This window comes from Homo sapiens, chromosome 1 (assembly GCF_000001405.40).
Source record: "Homo sapiens chromosome 1, GRCh38.p14 Primary Assembly".
Classification (NCBI taxonomy): domain Eukaryota; kingdom Metazoa; phylum Chordata; class Mammalia; order Primates; family Hominidae; genus Homo; species Homo sapiens.
In genome coordinates this window covers 114,832,885-114,853,188 of record NC_000001.11, presented here as the reverse complement: position 1 = coordinate 114,853,188, position 20,304 = coordinate 114,832,885, and the positions used below count along the sequence as shown (strand labels likewise).

General features: G+C 34.9%; 1 pseudogene, besides 1 other annotated feature; it reads right to left on the bottom strand.

The window, feature by feature from the left end:
* On the bottom strand, positions 1,645-18,733 carry NR1H5P (nuclear receptor subfamily 1 group H member 5, pseudogene; annotated as a pseudogene).
* Positions 3,850-4,050: a silencer, noted in NCBI's record as "peak384 fragment used in MPRA reporter construct". NCBI's record gives its function as "represses an SCP1 promoter by STARR-seq MPRAs in K562 erythroleukemia cells {active_cell/tissue: K562}" and the evidence as "EXISTENCE:reporter gene assay evidence [ECO:0000049][PMID:32103011]".

Here is a 20,304-nt window from a genome sequence, read left to right as displayed (position 1 = left end):
ATTTTGAGCAATAAAATAATGAGCTCCATTTTGAATATACCATTGACTTTGTTTTCCAACTTTCTCTGGGCATCATAATATAATTGATGCTTTTTCTAAGGACTTTAGCAATATTTTTAATAGCTCATTTTGTATAATCAGAAACAATCATTCCCGATAAAATAAAATTTTTGAGCAGTAAAGGATGATCCAGTTTAACTCCTTCATTTTACTATTTAGGGAAACTGAGTCTAGATACTCTGAAAAAGATAAGATACTCCCTCAGAGAGATGATACTAAGAATATACACAAAGTACCACCAGAGGCAATAATTGATCTAATTAAAAATTTTTATTCAATTGAGGCTATAAATCTAATATCCCAATATTTTTAAAAGTTTTACAACAGTGAAAATTTCAACTATGGTCACTTTTTTCTTTATTGAAAACCAAAATGCTACTCCTAGTGTTATATTAAATTTACCATATTTTATTTACTTAAAATCAGTCTTCCAAAGCAATAGTGCCACCATAGAATTTCTCACTTCCATGTATTTCACATGAAATTTAATTTAACATATTAACATCCTGTCCATATAAGGACTTAAAAATTTGTAGAAAGATTTCTGGTTTTAAGAACTTCGTTTTTTTCCACAAAAGATGTTGGCAAAAATGTTAAAATATTCTGTGCCAGAATGAGAAGTAAATTATGTTTAATTTCCTAATATATGTTAAAATATTTTAATAATCTGTATTTTAATTTTTCATTATTCTTGCCATCACAAAATTCCTACTTTGTTTTTATAAAGCATCTCTTTTTTTAAGGCATTAAGAAATGATAAGATTTGAACAGTTTTGCTCGTCTTTAATAATTCACAAAATGCTGTAACAGGAATAGGTTTAAAATGTTACCTCCTTATTCCATCAGTCTGGCTTTAGTTAATGAAGGTCACAAACTCTCTTTATTGTGTTGTTGTTGTTGTCGCTGTTGTTGTTGAGATGGAGTTTTGCTCTTGTCGCCCAGGCTGGAGAGCAATGGCGTGATCTCGGCTCATTGCAATCTCCACCTCCCGGATTCAAGCTACTCTCTGGCCTCAGCCCCTGGAGTAGCTGGGATTACAGGCGCGCATCACCATGCCTGGCTAATTTTTGTATTTTGTTTTGTATTTTTAGTAGCGACGGGGTTTCGCCATGTTGGTCAAGCTGGTCTTGAACTCCTGACCTCAGGTGCTCCACTTGCCTCAGCCTCCCAAAGTGTTTGGATTACAGGTGTGAGCCACCACGCCCGGCCAAACTCTCTTTATTTCAATTACAACTGTTTGCACTAGCTAGCCTTTCTTATATCCATAAATTTATATATTTTCATTCAATGTTTTACTGAATGAAAAAAGTGAAGCTTCTTCAGGTAATAACTCTCTGGCTCCTTTTGAAGGAAACATGAGGAAACAACTTTTGCTTCTTTTGAGTCCAATCATAAAAAGAATCCTAGATATCCCTCAGTGATAGTTCTATATTCCACAAAATTTTCATAAAATTTTGATGAGCATTGATGATGTCCATTTTACGGTCATATATTGGTAACACAGCAATACCGTTCATGTTGTCCAAATCAGTCATCCTATATGATAAAGTCATCCTATATGATAAAGTCATCCTATATGGTAAACAATTCAGATTTAGGAAGTTTAAAACAAACTACAACATTCTAAAATTTCAGCAAGAATACAAATTTCACTTCTCAGAGAGTAAAGTAGCCAATTTGGGGTCCTTTGTTTTCCAAGTGCTAAGTATTTCTGAATGGTTATAATTCAGAGTTCTCAGTTCAGTATGCTTCCATATGAGATGGGCAAAATGCTATGGGTCTTCTGGATGATACATTTTTGAATACTTATACAATATTTGTAAAACTGGTTCTTATAAATTTTCCATATATTGCTTATTTTTAAGGCATGGACGATCTGAAAAATATCATCATATTTATCTTAATGTATATTGGAAAGTAGCAAAAGATAAATAATCTTTTAAAACAATGCAGCTTTTAAATAACAAAAAACAAATATTTACTGAGCCCTTAATATATGCTAAATATTATGCTAAGTGACTTGCCTCTATGTATTATTTTATGTAGTAGTCACAATACTGTATGAGGTAAGTTCTATTATTATCACCATTTTCCAGATGAGCTTCTTGAAACCTAGAAAATTAAGTAATTTCCACTAAGTTACATAGGAAGGAAGGGTCAGTAAGTAGTTATAAGAATATAAAAGCAGCCGGGCCAGGAGCAGTAGCTCACACCTGTAATCCTAGCACTTTGGGAGGCCGAGGCTGGTGGATCACCTGAGGTCAGGAGTTTGAGACCAGCCTGCCCAACATGGTAAAACCCCATCTCTACTAAAAATATGAAAAATTAGCCATGTGTGGTGGTGGACGCCTGTAATCCCAGCTACTCGGGAGCCTGAGGCAGGAGAATCACTTGAACACAGGAGGCAGAGGTTGCAGTGAGCCAAGATTGCGCCACTGCACTCCAGCCTGGGTAACAAGATCGAAACTCCAACTCAAAAAAAAAAAAAAAAAAAAAAAGAATATAAAAGCAGCCAAGGGCTTACTTGAAACTTAAAAAAATTCAGTAATTTTCCCAAGATCAACAGTAAATAAAAGGCAAAGTTGTTCAAGTATCCAGCTGTAAAATATAAGAGCCAATCAATAATTTATTAATGTTTAGGCAGCATTCATTCATCCATCCAGTCACTGTGCTAGCGATACAGCGGTGAACATAACAGACAAAATTTTCTCCCCTCACTGAGTTTATATTCTGGGTCTGAGAGCAGTTGGGGAGGAAAGAGACATATACACATTTTTTAAAGTAATAACGTAATATAGCAGAGTGGTGTGTTATAGAGGAAAAAAAACAGGGAGGAGGATAAGAATTTAGGGTAAGGGGTGGTAACTAATTTTTCAAAGGCGAATCAGAGATAAAATGGCATTTAGCGGAAATCTAAGATGGTGAATAAGGGAGTCATGTGACTATCTGGGGAAAGAGGTTTCCAGGCAGAAGACTTATCAAATACACTAGAACCTGTACCAGGAGCCTGCTTGAAATTTTTTAGGAATATCTGCGTCAAAAGCAGCATGGCTGGAATGGAATAAGCAAAAGGAATAGTAATAGGCAATGATGAAAAGAACTTTGGCTTTAATCTGTGTAAAATAGGAAGCCATTTAAGGGTTATGAGCTGAGGGGTATCACATGATCTGACTTACATTTTCAAAGAATTACTCTGGCTCCTGTATAGAGAATAGACTGTAGAGAGGCAAGGGCAGAAACAGAAAAAGCCAGTTAGGAGAGTAGTTTAAATTAGGATGGTAAAGATAGAAATAGTAAGTTCTGGTTAAGTTCTGGATATATTTTGAGAGCAGAGCCAGTGGGATTTGTGGTATATTTGATATGGGTATAAGAGAAAGAAAGAAGTTAAGGATGACAAAAAATTTTAGCTTATACAACTTCAAGGATGGAAAATACCATTTAGCAGAGATGGAGAACAAATATAGAAGGATGGAGGGGGAGGCAACTAGGAATTCACTTTCAAGCGTGTTAAATTTGATATGCCTACTAGATATCCAAGTTAAAATCTTGAATAGGCTATTTAATGGGGTTTGGGAGAGCACTCCAGGTTGGTATATATAATAAATTTAGGAGTGGTCAGCATATACATGGCCTTTAAAGCCATGAGATAGGATGAAATTGCAAAGAAAGTGAGTACAGAAAAAAGAGAACTGAGCCCTGGAATATTCTTGTCATTTGTCTCTGTGGGAGATGAAGAGGAATTAACAAAATAAACTGAAAGTGCAACCACTAAGGAGAAAAATCAAGAGTGTGTGGGGTCTTGGAAATCAAGAAAAAAACATGCATGTCAAGAAGGAAGAAGTGATCAACTGAAGCCAAGTGATGAAAGTGTTCTAAGAGAGGGGACGTGATCTGTCAAATGTAGCTCATGGGTCAAGTAAGCTGAAGACTAGGAATTGACCACTGGAATCAGCAATGCCAAGATCCCAAAGATATTGACTGGTTATGGTGATGTGGAGAGGAGAGGACATAATCTTACTGTAGAGGGTTTAGGAGTTAACAAAAGGAATGGAGAAGGGAGTATACACAACCCTCTAAAGAAATTTTTTTCTGTAAAGTGGAACAGAGAAATAAGAGTAGGTGAAAGTGGATATGAGGTCAAGAAAGCGTTTTTTTAAGTTGCAAAAAATTATAGCATGTATATAAGCTTAAAGGAATGCTCCTGTAGAGAAGGAAATTGTGATAAAACAAAATTGGTACATTTGGCTGTAATTAATAATTTAGTAACCACAAACCTCATCATTTCATTGCCAAATGTAATACAGATTTTTACCACTGAATGGTTTTTACCTGAAAAAAAGTTTTTACCTGAAAAAACAATTGTTGCTGCAAGCAGAGCATATTCAGTATTAGTTACATCAAGTTTGCTCATTCTTTTGTAGAAGTAAAACAGTGTGTAATAAATTCTTCAGTAACACCCAAAAAACTGATACGAAAATGTATTTTCATCCAAACATAGGGTAGAATCAAACATATGGAAATTATCATTGTATCTCAAAGCAGTATAAGAAAGTTAAACATTATATACAAATTTTTGCATCCAATATAATATTTCATATTGAGTCATATTACCAATTAGAGTAGTAGAAGGACATTCTTCATTGTAAAATTTTTCCATAGAACAAATAAGACTTCTATCACCACTCCTATTGTGACAATTTGGTGTATAATCTGAATGATTTAATATTCTCACAGAACCTAGTAAAAAGGAAAAATATAAAGCCTGATTTTTTTTCTAATCTTTAAACTCAATCTTTCAGAATCCAGCATAGTTGTTAGATCAGAAATACTCCCAGCAAATGATAGATTTATAATTTTTATTACTGAAACAAGAAGTTAAATTAATAGTTTTTAGTTTATAGAAAGATTGTATAGGAGACCCTCCAAAAATGTGTTTTCCATGATGCTATATAATAAAAAATAGCTTTTTATAAAACTATAGCTTTTTATGAAGAGCTATTATTAAGTAATTTTGCCTATAGTAACTGGCAAAATTAAAATAAAAAATAGCTCAATGTTATACAATTTGTTGCTAAATTTAACAGTAACTATTAACATTAAAGTTAGAAAAAAATCCATTTTTACTTTCAGAGGCTGATTGTTTCTGACTGTAAAGTTGGGCCCCATGGAGAAATATCACTTCAGTTTTTGATCCCTTCTGTAGTGCAGTTTGATCCTCATTGGCCAAATTTTCAAATCCTTTAAAGAGAAGATCACATAATTGTTTGAAATCGATAATCAAAAGATAATTTTCAGATGTAGTATTTTAACATTTTAAATTATTCATATAATAGTATGAATCCTAAATGCTCCCTTAGAATAATCATAATATGTTATTTCAAATTTGAAATAAATTCTTGATTCCACATGGTAATATTTTGGGGCACTTTTATCAGAACTGAATAATATTTTTCCTGTGGCAAAAGCAAATTAAACATAGTTGATTTAGCCTTGAAGAATTTATGTTTACGATGAGATATCTGTACATGTAAATAGATAGCTAAGTTTTGGCCAACAGCGGTTTGATTTTTCAGTATTGTACAGGGAATTTTCTTTGTTACATGCATTATAGAAAAAAAAAAGTCATTTTCCAAAAATAAGCAATTAACCTTTTGATTGTCTTAACTCTCAAGTCTTTGAAGTCATTTTAATAATTTCACTTTTTTATTTTTAATTCTTATGGGTATATTGCAGGTATATATATTTATGGGGTACATAAGATATTTCAATACAGGTATACAATGTGTAATAATCACATCAGGGAAAATGGGTATCCATCACCTCAAGCATTTATCATTTCTTTGTGTTACAAATATTCCAGTTATAGTTTTGTGGGGGTTTTTGTTGTTGTTGTTTAGAGACAAAGTTCTCACTCTGTCGCCCTAGAGTGCAGTGGTGTGATCACAGCTCACTGCAACCTGGAACTCCTGGGCTCAAGCAATCCTCTAGCCTCAGCCTTCTGAGTAGCTGGGACCACAGGCACACACCACCAGGCCTGAGATTTTTTTAATTTTTTGATGAAATGGGGTCTTGCTGTGTTGACCAGACTTGTCTCAAACTCCTGGGCTCAAGTAATTCTCCTGCCTGGGCCCTCCCAAAATGCTGGAATTACAGGTGTGAGCCACTGCACTAGCCTCTTTTAGTTATTTTTAAATGTACAATAAATTATTGTTGACTGTAATCAACATGTTGTGATATCAAATACTAGATCTTATTAATTCTAACTATATTTTTGTACCCATTAACCATCCTTACTCCTCTCACCACACTACTCTTCCTAGCCTCTTTTATCTGAATTCTACTCTCTGAGCAGTATTTTTTAATATTTAGATTTTCACCCATCTGATTAAAGCAGACAAAATAAACACGTTTTTGCATTGAGAGGCAGCTTTGTGAGCCCAGGAGTTTAAGATCAGCTTGGGCAAAATGGTGAAACCGTCTGTCTACAAAAAATACAAAAATTAGCCGAGCATGGTGTGCATGCCTATAGTCCCAGCTACTCAGCAGGCTGAGGTGGGAGGATCACGTGAGCCCGAGAAGTCAAGGCTGCAGTGAGCCGTGGTCATGCCACTGCACTCCCGCCTGGGCAACAGAGTAAGACCCCGTCTCAAAAAAAAAAAAAAGAAAAAGAAAAAAGAAACAAAACATTGGTGAAAAAATAGAGGGTTTTTTTCCTTTTCCTAAAATATCCACTTCCCTTAAAACAGGGAACTTTTTATAAAATTAACTTAAGTATTAAATTAATTTTTCCCAAAGGTAATTACCTGGGAGCCCCTTGGTAAAATTCATTAGCCCACGTATGTGTAGGACTGCTGTCTCTGAGAGTTGCAAAAAGCTCAGTTCAGGATTTGTATGTTCCTGCAGCTAACCCATAAAAAAGCAATAAGATTAATGAATTTTATTTTTTCAAGTATCTTTTGAAATTTTAAACTGTTATGCTTATGCCTTTGTTTCCTAACATAATTATACATTATTTCTTTCAGTAATGAACACATACAAATTTGTTTCTTCTAAAGGAATGGTATATTTTTGATGAGCAGCCACAATGTTATTAATGAGCTGATGTTCCTCTTCAGTTAGTTCCATGCTTTCCTGAATCTATAAGAAAATATAGGAGGAAAATTATAAATATAGAATTCATAATTATTAAACAAAACACCATAATTAAAGAAACAAATTTTATAAGAAAAGCCTTGCCACTTTTCCAGGTCTAGTGGTGGATGATAGAAAACTGTGGTCTACTCCTTCCTCTTCCACTTTGATGTTAGAGTAAAAATGATTCTTCTCCTTAAAGTTCTTTTGAAGTCTCTTTAATTTACATTGGATTTCTGTGAGCAAACCTGTGTTATTACAAAATTCATATAAAATGTTTCTGGTATGACAGATAACATGATAGGATTAAAATTCTCTTATATTGTACATGTATATATACATATATCATCATAGACTTGTCTTTTTACAAAGAATCCTTCTTTTGGGCAAGTATGTACATAGCAATTACATTTACTACATTACTTTCTCCTTTTCATTCCACAACTATCTTGCCTACTTAAAAGTACACAGTGATCCTAGACATAAATTATACATTAATTTTAAATCTCCAAATTATAAATTTAGACTGTTTAATATTAGAACAATTTTCACATGAATTATATTTTGGAAACAACATAAAATATCAACTCATAAAGCAGTTGAACTACCTTAGCTACAGGCTTTTATCTTTGATTTTTACATCATACGGTCAAGAGAGTATCTTGTGGTGTTCAAAATCAGCTCAGTCAATTTTTTTCTTATAATCAAGACAAGGCAGTGGACACTCTTTATAAAGTGAACAATTTTTATTTTTGACTTGCCACCTTTACACATCTTTGAATCTTCAACTAGAACTTCTACCTGAAGAGCAACAGTTGTTGTAAACAACTACTAAAACTAACCAAATACTAATCTTTATCATTTATTATGTTCGTCATTTTTTCATAAGTGTTTAAAACATACCAATCACATAAAAAGTATATCAGGAGCTGAGGTAGAAAAAAAACAAAAGCCTTAGCCTTTTTCTAAATTATTTCATTATTTTGTTGGGAAACAAGAATATATCAAAATATGAAGCCATTTAAGGAATATCAAATATTAAAATAATTAGAACTGAATACACAAATGCAAAAATTATATAAAGAAAAGGAGTCATTAGAATCAGAGGGAATTAATTGTGGGGAGGCTTACTAAAGAGGTATATTCGAAAGAGGTTTTAGTTATGAGAAAGAAGAGTACCCTAAAGGAAAAGGGAATGGCAGAGAAGTGAAGATAAGTCATGAAAGGGTGAAAAATAAATTCATAAAGTCTTACACAGGCACAAGAGGAAATGGTGGTAAAGAATTTCAACTCCGGAAAGATTTCAAATTAACAAGAATTAACTGTTTGGAAAGAGAAATTATAGACTCCTTTAAAGAAAGGAGCCATGCAGGAGTTTGAGAACAGCCGGGGCAACATGGTGAAACCCCATCTCTGCAAAAAATATAAAAATTAGCCAGACGTGGTGTATGTGTCTGTAGTCCCAGCTACTCGGGAGGCTGAGGTGGGAGGATCACCCGAACCCAGGAGGTCGGGTCTTCAGTGAGCTGTAATCACACCACTGCACTCCACAGACTGAGCAACAGAGTCTGTTTCAAAAAAAAAGGAAAAAGAGTCCTTTCAAAAAAAAGGAAAAAGAAAAAGAAAAAAAATAAGGAGCCATGTCAAAATGGAGTCCATGATATATGGGAAAAGGGCATGTTTTTAGTTACATCCAAAGCAAGAAATGAGACTCACAGCTTGGTGCCTGTATGTAACATTGACGACAACTTAAAGGAAACAAGTCAACCTTTTTGGACAGCACAAAATAAAATCGTCATCTAAATGGGTGAAAAAATTCTTTAAAGGCAAGTGTTCTTAATGCATTTATATCTCTTCAACTGAAAAACATTAGTTTCTATAGAATTGAACTATAGTCTGATATTGAAGGAATAGCAGATAATAAGGGAAATGTCATTAGAAGTCAGAAGGCTTCATGATGATTTTCAAAAAGAGGCAGAAAGATAAATTTCATACAAACTACATCTGAACAATTTGTTTATGGAAACTCAAAAGGAAAAGCAATAATCAGTGAAACCCAGTATAAATTAACAGAACAACTAATCATGTCAGCTTAATTTCAATTCTGTCTTGGACAGGATTCTTAGAATGGAAGATCAAGGAAATACTTTAGACAAAGTATATATGGAATTTAACACGTCATTTCACAAGTCCTCTTAATATATGCTTAGAGCCAGGATGGAGATGTAGGTTGGATTCAAGATTGTTGGTGTAAAGTAATAACTACTTGAGGAACCATATTCAAAGAAAGTTGATAAATAGATGAATGCCAGTCTATAAGAATATCTTTAATGGTAAGTCATAAGGTTTCATATTTCATCTAGTTCTAGACAATATTTTAAACCACATTATGGATCAAATTGTCAATGTTATCTTAAATAACCCAAACATCATATGACAAAAAAAAATTTTTTAAAGCTCTTCAGACTGAATATTATGCTGAAATGTAACAAAGGAAAAGTTTACTGAGGATAGATATTAAGACCTGCACATGATGTCAGTCCCTGACTTTTCCAATGCTCTTTAGCAGGAAGTGCTAGTATCTTTAACCTGCAGGGTCGGCTTTGCAATGTTTTTGAACCAATCTTGAATAACATGAAGGGGGACACAGTCACACACATTGTATTTCTGACTGTAGCACCACATAATGTTTAACATAACCAATACTGGAGTTGGTCAGCATGCCTGGATTTGAATGTTGGCTCTACCACCTAGTTAGCTATGTGACTCTATGACTTGCTTTCCTCATCCATAAAATGGAATGATAAAATGCGTATTTCATTGTGGTTATAGTGAGAATTAAGTAAGACATGTGGAAAATGGTCGGTTCTATTTTTTATTTTTATTAGCTTTCTGTTCAGCTCCCCAGTGAGAGTGAAACCTTCTCTTGAGCCCTAACCTATTTTTCTAGTGGCCTATAAACATTCTTAGATCTCACCAGCTCCCCTGAAAGTAGAGGACTTGGTCTCCTATGTCTGCAACCTTTGGCTAGGATTTTAATTCACCAATAATCTGGAACCATGACATTACAACTCATCTGACTTCAAATAACTTCCACTACCTGGGATATCCTACGGTAATCATACCTCAGAGTGTGGTTAGGGCACACTCTTGCTAATAAATCAAATTTGTCCTTGGCATACAACTTTTGAACTTTGTAGACTGAACTGGTTAATAACAGTAAATTAATAGCAGTACATGTACAAGCAAAAGGAGGTAGTCTGTCAACTCTTACTTAGCTCAATATGAGATAATAGTTTCAGGGTCCAGCCTTACTAGCAGCCAATAAGATTGAGCTGAGATTAAAACAGAGAAAAAGGGATCTACAGAGCAGCCACCTTTAAAAGCCAATGTGTTCTTAAACTATATTAATATACCTAACCCATAGTACCTATAAAGACTGAATTCCACTCTGCTTTGCACATGTTTGATTACCATGTTTGGTAATGGACATGATACTTTAAAATGAGAGAAAGGAATTCATGAGGAACAAGATAGCTATATTCAGATACTTAAAGTATCATCATATGGCAAGGGAATTAGGACTCCAAAGGAAAGAAAGTAATGTCGTACAAGCTCTGTTTGCACAGGCTTCTATAATTACTTACGAAAGTGAAAAAAAAAAGTATATTAGTTCAATTTAATGGTGAGTGTAGTATGAATATCTATGGTAATGGTGGCAGGATCATAAAAACAAAGTCATGCATTACTTTAGGGCAAACGTGGGGCAACCCTCAAATCACTAGGTCTTGACAATTTCAAATTTTACCTGAGTCCCATGCTCATATAAAATAGCGAAAGCTAAAGGAAGCTTCCCATCCTTCTATGTTCTGGAAAATGGCTTCCTGCAAAGAACTACCTTTCCCAATCTGACTTAGGTAAGACTCGTGGATGCCCCTTTGTTTACCTATGACAAAGGCAGACACAGACCATGCAAATTCACATTCTCTGCTTCCTGAATGATTATCTTAACTGTTTTATCCCCACTGATCAATCAAAACAAAATATGTATCAATAAAACTTCGGCTAACCTTCATTTCTTGCTCCAGGCCCTGAAACTTTGATCCACCCTAAGCCTGAGCCAGCAAACATAGCTTTCTGAGACTAGGCTAGACTCAGAGTAAAACATTCTCTGATACATTATCTGATCGTATCACCTTTTTATCCTACTCTGTAATCAGTTCTTTCTAGCTTTATTTATTCCTTTCTATAAAACTCTTTTTTGCCTAACTCTTGAATTGCTTGTGTATCTTTTAACTACAGCATTCTTCCTATTGCAGTAGTCCCCCTTGCCCTATTGCAAAAGTCCCTTCCCCACTTGCAGTGCGCCTTTCAAATAAAATATCTCCATTGTTCTGTGTTTTATTTGACACATATAGATTTAAGCAGACCTAAGTCTAGAGAGATATGCACATTGTTCTGTGAACACACCTCTCAGATAAATAGGCACCAAATGCTTGAGAAGCAAGTGTACTAGCTTGGTGTACTCCATAGGAATCACAAAGTTTTAATGATATGCCGATTACTTTACTGGGACTTCTGTATTCTATGAAGATAGGAATGTACTGTGTATTTAATACTTTTGGTTCATCTTTTTCCAGTTCCATCATTTCAGTTGTATGCTTATGGAATGAAACCAAGCCACATAAAAATCCAGGGCTTTCCTGATGAAAACTCCTTTTACCTAGAATATGGGGTCGGACAGCCAGGAATTCAAATGTAGAAGGATAAACGAGAGAGAGAGAGAGGCATAGAAAGATGCAGTGGGAGACTGGAAAGCATATAAATAACATTTGAATAATGTTTATATTCATATTCCATGACAGCAACACTCATATAGGTTCTCTTTTTTCAATTTTGGAATAATTCCTTCAAGTTTAGAGGAAAGGAGGACTGATTTCATTTATGGATTGTCCTGGGAGAAAATGAGTTCCCTTTCACATAGGTTTTCATGTATAGGTTAAAAGACAACTTACCAGGGATCGCTAGGAACTGAATTGTATCCTTCAAAATTCATATATTGAAGCCCTAACCCTCAATGTGATGGAATTTGGAGATGGAGGCTTTGGGAAGTAATTATGTTTAGATAAGGTCATGAGGGGTGGAGCTCTGGTGATGGGATTTGTGCCCTTCTAAGAAAAGACACTGGTGAGCTTGCTCTTTCTTCTCTCCACTGTGTAAGGACACACAGAGAAGGCAGACATCGGCAAGCTAGGAAGGGAGCCCTCATCGGAACCAAACTGTGCTGGCACCCTGATCTCAGACTTCTGCCTCCAGAATTGTAAGACAATAAATATCTTTTTAAACCACCCAGTTTATGGTATTTCTTATGGCAACTCAAGCTAACTAAAACAGGGCTAAAGTGAAGGATTCAGGCTAGTTGGACAGGATAACCTTAAGATTTATAACATATCTGAAATTTTAAGTAATATGAATCCTTTTGATGAAGAACTTTGACAAGAGAGATTGGGTTTTATAATAATCAGTATGAAATAAAAGGAATATTGCATGGGCATTTATTGAACAAGAGTATAGCTTAATAAAAAAATGAAGATTATTATGACAGCTAAAGATAGATTGACCAAAAAGAGAGAAGGAAGAAATGGCCAGGAAACTAATATTATAGCATAAATGCAAAATAATAAGAGTTTGAACAAGGCTAGATTAGACATGAAAAGAAAACATTAATAGTACTCTTTAAAGAAAAATTAGCTGGGCATGATGGGATGCCTGTAATCCCAGCACTTTGGAAGGCTGAGGTGGGAAGATCACTGAGCCCAGGAGTTTGAAACCAGTTTGGGCAATAAAGCAAGATCTCATCTCTACACAAGAATTTTATTTTAATTAGCCAGATATGGTGGCATGTGCCTGTGGTCCCAGCTACTCGAGAAGCTAAGGCCGGAGGTGGAAGCTGCAGTGAGCTGTGATTGCACCATTGCACTCACAGCCTGGGTAACAGAGCAAGCCTTGTCTAAAAAAAAAAAAAAAGAGGGAGGGAGGGAAAGAAGAAAAAAATTAATTAAAAAAGTAAGCCACAAGGAATAGGAGAAATTGAGGAAATTATGTCAAAATTGTAGTACTACTGTAAGGATTAAATAACATCATATAATCTAAGCAAAAAACACAGTGAACATAGAAGGGATTCAAAAAGATTACATACTCTTCTGCCTATAGAGTTGAGTTTTAACACTTGTGTGTTAATTACCAGCAGATGCTACATAACTAGGTATCTTGTAAGCTTTTGGAAACTACTGACTTAAAATTGTCCTCTTTCTAGATGCAATACATGACTTTAGGTTAAGTAACATGAAAATACAAGGATTTTCAATTAAGAAGAAAATGTGATTATTTCCAAAATTAGAGCAAGATAATATGGAGCAGGGTCTATGGAAATAATTACTTACATTCGTAACTGGCCATCCAAATTGAGTAGTTTGCTAGAGAAATAGCTTAAATCCAAACAAATAAGTAGACATTCAAAATTAAGTTCTCAGTAAGGTAAAAAAAATCAAAATCCGCCTCAGAAAAAAGCAAAACACATGGCACTTACATTCTGCCAACATTCCTACTGCCTTATACTTTTTCAGTCTGCACTCTTGACATTTTCTACGCATGTACATGTCCATTTCACAGTGACTACCATTCCTGCAACTATATACTGCATTTTGTTGATGCTACATTGAAAAAAACCCAATAAAAAAGTTTTAAAATTTTTTACCATAGGTATTTCTAGTTAATTATTTTTATTAATATATGCCTTCATATTAATCACGTTAACTAAATTATTTCAATAAAATGTTTTTTCTCTCAATAAGATCGTTTGATATACATTTATCTGGATAGTTGTCTTAACCCTCTCCTGATTCATGTTTTCTATTCCAAGGTTATTCCTTTCAGTAATCACATCTGGAAATTAAACTCAATAGCTCTATTACATTAAGTCAACTCTCTATGTTACTGTGGTTATATCAGCTAAAAGCATTTTTAAAACTATGTTTTACAGAATATCAAGATTTAAAGAAGCATCTCTCAAGACTTCCTTTAAAGAATAGGTGGTCATGTAAAATAAAACTATAAAGAAAATCTTTTTTCTTCTCTCACATTTCCACTCAACCCACAAAGGAAGAAGTATTCTTCCAAACTTACTTCCCTACGTATGTCTCTTTTTTAGCACTTTCCCAGATGAGAAAGTGTTGCTAGTTTATTTGGACTGAGATATTGAGGGGGCCATGTTTGGCAGGGGGAGGGGGAGGTCTACATTCTCTCTTTCACTTTCTAAATCCATGCATAGTAGTTCCTCTTCATATTTCCTCCTTCAATTCCTGTTCTTATGCAATAATCCCTGCTATCTTTTTCTTCCATTCCAAGCAGTGAAGTCAATAAACTTAGTCAATATCCCTCTTAAAGTCCAGCCATATCGTCTTTTTCCATAGACACTTGAGAGTGGGAGTTTCATGATTTAGATTCAACAAAAAGAGTAAAAAGTTCAGCTTTGGTTTCCAGAACTATGTCTCATTTGTCAATCTAGTTTTAATAGCAAGGCCCTGCATTTCAAGAGTAAGTAAACATGTGCCCAGCTATTCTATTCACAAAGCTGTTACTTCATTTCCCATAGTCTTCATTTAGCTATTCTTTGTAAGGGGTGAATTGTAAGATTCTAACAGTGAAACTTCACTCTGAACCTCTACAAGACATGTTTTCCCACTATATTGACCTAATCATTCACAAGTTCTGTCCCCAAACTGCATTTTTTAATAAAAGCCATGCAGGAGTATTTCAAAACCTCAAATTTTATCAAGGACTGTTTCACTCTTGGAAAATGCAATGGTCTTCACTTTCGGACCTTTAATTTGTTTTTGCAAAGCGTTAAAAAATATAGAATCTTATAAGTCATTCAATTCAAATTTCCTCCAAATGCATGAATTATAGCAACCACATAAAAGGATGTGATAGTAAACATTCAGATCTTTTAAAACATCATTTTCTCTTCCAACAGGAGACTGATCTAGGAATATGGAAACCTTCTACTCTATAAATATCAAATTATACAATTAAATGTAAGAGTCCTCATGAAAAATGAAAAAAACACTACATATAAACTTTACATTCATTCCATTTTCATGTCTTTGATCCCACAGACTGATCCATTTAATCACAGCATGGCTTTCCCTGGTTTTAACTCTCATACTTTAAAAAGTAAGAGTATTCTCACATGCCTAAAATTTTGTACTAAGATTTCAATTTTATTTTAATCTTATCCTTACCTTTGCAACCTTCACAGGTAAGTGCATTATAATGATATGGTGATGGTGATGCTTTATCACCACAAACTACACAGAATTCTTCCTGTCCCTTATTTCTCGAGGAAGAATAGGTTGGTCTGGACCTTTTTATTCCAGGGTATCCATCTTCAGCATCATGAGCAACCACATAAGTGGGTTTATTTAATTCACGAGAACTAAATCCACACTGTCCACCATCACTGTCCTGTGGATCCAATCTATAAGTGTTGAAATGATTTTATAAAGATTCAGACTGTAAAGCTGGAGGAAACTGAGCAATAGAATACTGGCAATAAGGTGATTTTTTAAAATGAGTGTCATGCAGCTGATAACTAATTTGTTCTGGTAAAATATCTAGTTTTTAAAACATGAAAAAGAACAAATGGTAAAAAGTCAAAATTTCCTAATAGTTTTCAAATTTCAAAGTGTTTAATCTCAACAAGCAAAGTTAGTTCAACATATCCACTACATCCCAGAAGCTTTCTGTCCAGCATGATGGACAGACAGTAAACAACTGATACATGATAAATGCTACAATCCCAGAGGTATGCAGAGGTTGCTCAGGAGCTATAAGAAAGGGTAATCATTGCTCATAGCTTACATAGCAATCCATTCTCCCTCAAGTGAAAAATAATATGTTCTAGAGTTTGGAACAGAAGAAGGTTTTCCCCACCTTCTGCATTTCCCTTGTGGATACAATTAGTTTCAGTGTATTCCGGTCAAGAACAATATGAATTAATAAATTATTTCACTACCTCGCAAAAAAAATCAAACTAAAATACACTTTTACCAGTTATCTGCTTATTTCAAACAAAAGAAAAATTTTGTCTGAACTCTTCATTTGCTATATCTCAATGCCCTTCATTGCCATTTGTAGCCAGATTTAAATTACTAGTTTCTTTTTAATTTTGTTGTTTATCTGAGTAAATTTACCTAATTCACAGGGTCACTGTAAGAATGAAATGAAATATAGTCATGCACTGCATAAAGACATTTGGGTAAATAATGGACCACACATACAACAGTGGTCCAATAACATTATAAAGGGGCTGAAAAATTCCTGTCACCTAGTGATGTCATAACCATCCTCACATGTTTGTGGTGCTGCTGGTGTAAACAAACCTACTGTGCTGCCAGTCATGTAAAAGTATAGCAGATACGATTATGTACAGTACATAATACCTGATAATGATAATAAACAACCATGTTACTGGTTTATGTATTTACTATCCTATAGTTTTTATCATTATTTTAGTGTGTGCTCCTATTTATTAAAAAAAAAAAAAAAAAGGTTAACTGTAAAACAACCTCAGGCAGATCCTTCAAGAGGTATTCCAGGGAAGGCATTGTTGTCATAGGAGATGAGAGCTCCACGTGTATTACTGCCCTTGAAGACCTGCCAGAGGGACAACGATATGGAGATGGAAGATGACTGATGATTCTGACCCAGTGTAAATCTAGGTTAATGCATGTGTTCGTGTCTTGTCCTTAATAAAAAAGTTTTAAAGGTTTTAAAAAATTTTAATAGAAAAAAGTTAAGAATAGGAAAAGGATATAAGGAAAATATTTTCATACAGCTGTACAATGTGTTGGTGTTTTAAGAAAAGTATTATTGCCAAAGAGTCAAAAAGCTAAAAAAATTAAGTTAATAAAGTAAAAAAGTTACAGTAAGCTAGAATTAGTTTATTATTGAAGAAGGAAAATAATTTTTTATAACTTTAGGGTAGCCTAAGTATACAGTATTTATAAGTTCTACAGTAATGTACAGTGATGTCCTAGGCCTTCACATTCACTCACCATTCATTCACTGATTCACTCAGAACAACTTCCAGTCCTGCAAGCTCTATTCATAAGTACCCTATACAAGTGTATCATTTGTTATCCTTTGTACCTTATTTTTACTGAACCTTTTCTATGTTTAGAATAATCTACCAAATACTTACCATTGTGTTACAATTGCCTACAGTATTAAGTACAGTAATATGCTATACAGGTTTTAGCCTAGGAGCAATAGGTTAGGCCATAGAGCCCAGGTATGTAGTAAGCTATACTCTCTAGTTTGTGTAAGTACATTCCATGATATTCACACAATGATGAAATTGCCTAACAATGCATTTCTCAGAACGTATGTAAGCAGCACCTGTTATTAAGTGACACATGACTATACGTAATTAAAAGCATGTATATATTATAAAATGATACATAATGTATATCATTATTATCAGAAGCTCCCAAACACCAACTTACTTCCTGCTTTCAGGAGAACTACTAAATTTAAAATTTCAAAATTGGCTATAGAAGGATCCAGGAATACTTAATTGTTCAATGTCTTTAATATGTGTGCTTCCCCTGGTGCTGAATCATTAGATGATTAGACTTATTCTTATCCTCAAAATTCTGCCACCAAGATTGGTAAACATCATAATTTTAATTAATTTACATAAATCATTTACAATCTTACAGTATCCAAAGCAATGCTAAATGTTGAATGAATACCAAATGACAGCCTTATATAAGAAAGAAGGTTAACAGTAAAACAACGTAGCTTTCTTTAAAAAAAAAAAAAGAAGAAGAGGACCTTTCTTGGATGACTGTCAAATAAGACCGTCTTTTTTTCACTACAGTAGAAAACTGGCTGATGTTCTGTTGGCATGGAAATCAGAGTTCAAACTATAAAAGAAAGCTGCATTTAAGATTAAATTTATATTATAATCTTAGTCTTTTTGCAAAAAAATTCCTGTTTCTATTGCATTCTGTTTTCTTTCTCTTTACCTTTTATAAGAATCTTATGTTAAGATTAAAATGTCAAGCATGTGAAAATCTATTGCGAACTGCATTTACTAAATTGCATGAAAACCAGTTTGAGCCAACCCATAAAAATAACTTCAAATTTGCATGTTAATTCTCTTTTTTAAAACTGAACACAGTTTTAGACTATTGTGCTTTTCCTTCCTTACCTTTCATTCTGGCTTACAATATTTTAGTATTATTGATTTTTGAAGCTAATTATTTTCTTTCATAGAGAATAATTTACAGTCTTTTGTTCATTTGTTAATTTATTTTTTAAATCTCTGTAATTAACCATAATTCTCACAAAAAAGTCTTATTAACAATTTTTTACTGTAGTTTTTTGTCACATATCATAGCAATGCACTGACTGGTTCAGCAAGACAATACCTATCACATGCAGTGACATAAGTATTTGCCATTCTCTGGTCCAGTTCTCACTGCTTCATTCCTTTCAGTCAATGCTGGGCTTTTCAGAGTAAAACATGAAGGAAACAAAATTTTTGGAGACTATTCGAAAGTGTGGTTATCAGATCAGTATGGTTTGATGAAAGTACAATGCTATTTTTTAAACTAAGGATTTAGCAGAATTTATACAAGACATTCATATTTACACTTTAATTGGGAAAATGTTGATTTTTTCATCTCTAAACACCAATTTATTTAATTCAGTTACAGTAGATAGTCAGGCGGTATGAGCAGGGCAGGAGAAGCTATTGATCAGCAGCTTTCCAATAAGATCTCAGGAGTAAGGTGAGTGGGCTCAAGCATGCGCAATTAAGAGGCAAAATGGCAGAGTTTAACTGGTATATGACCTTCTAGGGACATTCAACTGGTAAGGAAAGAACACCTCAAGTGAGCATTCATACAACTGTAGTAAACACACTGCATGTGCTCCCCTCCCAACTGCTAGCAGGCCACTACACATGCAAACAGCCCACCCCAAGGGATGAATCAGGGGAGAAGGGATACAAGAACCCAGAAGGATGCCAATGTATAAGACCCCATGTCAAAGGTCAAACAGCATCTCTCAAGTTGCCTGCTTGGCCCTCTTCTAAGTGTACTTTACTTCTTTTCATTCCTGCTCTAAAGATTTTTAATGAACTTTCACTCCTGCTCTAAAACTTGCCTCAGACTCTCCTCCACCCTATGCCCTTCAGCTGAATTCCTTCTTCTGAGGAGGCAAGAACTGAGGTTGCTGCAGACCCATGCAAATTCACCGCCACTGGTATACTTTGGTGCTGTGTGACTCGGATATGATCTGTTGCTGACACATTTGGTGCCACGTGACTTGGATACATTCCCCAGTGGTAAGACACCTCTATGCCTTGCCTTCTTCATCTGGAGACATTTAACCCCCATACACTGTTTTCTTCTCCCCTTTCCCTCTCCTGCTTACAAATTAACACCCAGAATTGTACCTCTCAGCCACAGTGGTCTGCTCCCCGTGCTGATCTCTCAGTTCACCCTGGCTCATAGGGGTGGGAAGGAACTTGGGGTCCACACCGAGTAGAACTGAGGCACTAATGGCCCTTCTGGACAGGAAACTCTCAAGAGTGAGAGGGCTAAAGCCTAAAACCGGGCAATGTCTGGGGTTTCTTCTGCCTTTTCAACTAAAATCAGCTCTTTCCAAGAACCCATACTGCCTATTCTCCTATTTTCTCTGTGTGTTTTCAGAAATGACCTTACACACCCACCAGACCATCCACCACAGGGGCAAGTTTGCCTCTTTTGCTTTCACTTTGCATGCCACATGGCTTCTTAAACACACACTCCCTGTTATTTGTGTTCCGCAGCTCTTACTGTGTTTATGTGGCAGCAAAGACACAGGCTCCCTTACAGATATCCCCTGAGATTTATACTTGTTTTTACACTACTAGCTTGCATGACCTCCAAACCTTCCCCTGTCTGCTAGCAACATTGCTGGGACATACAGTAATTGGAACCCCTGCTCTGACAGCTCCTTATGACTTACTGAAACAGCCAAGTGTAAGGGGGTCTCCGG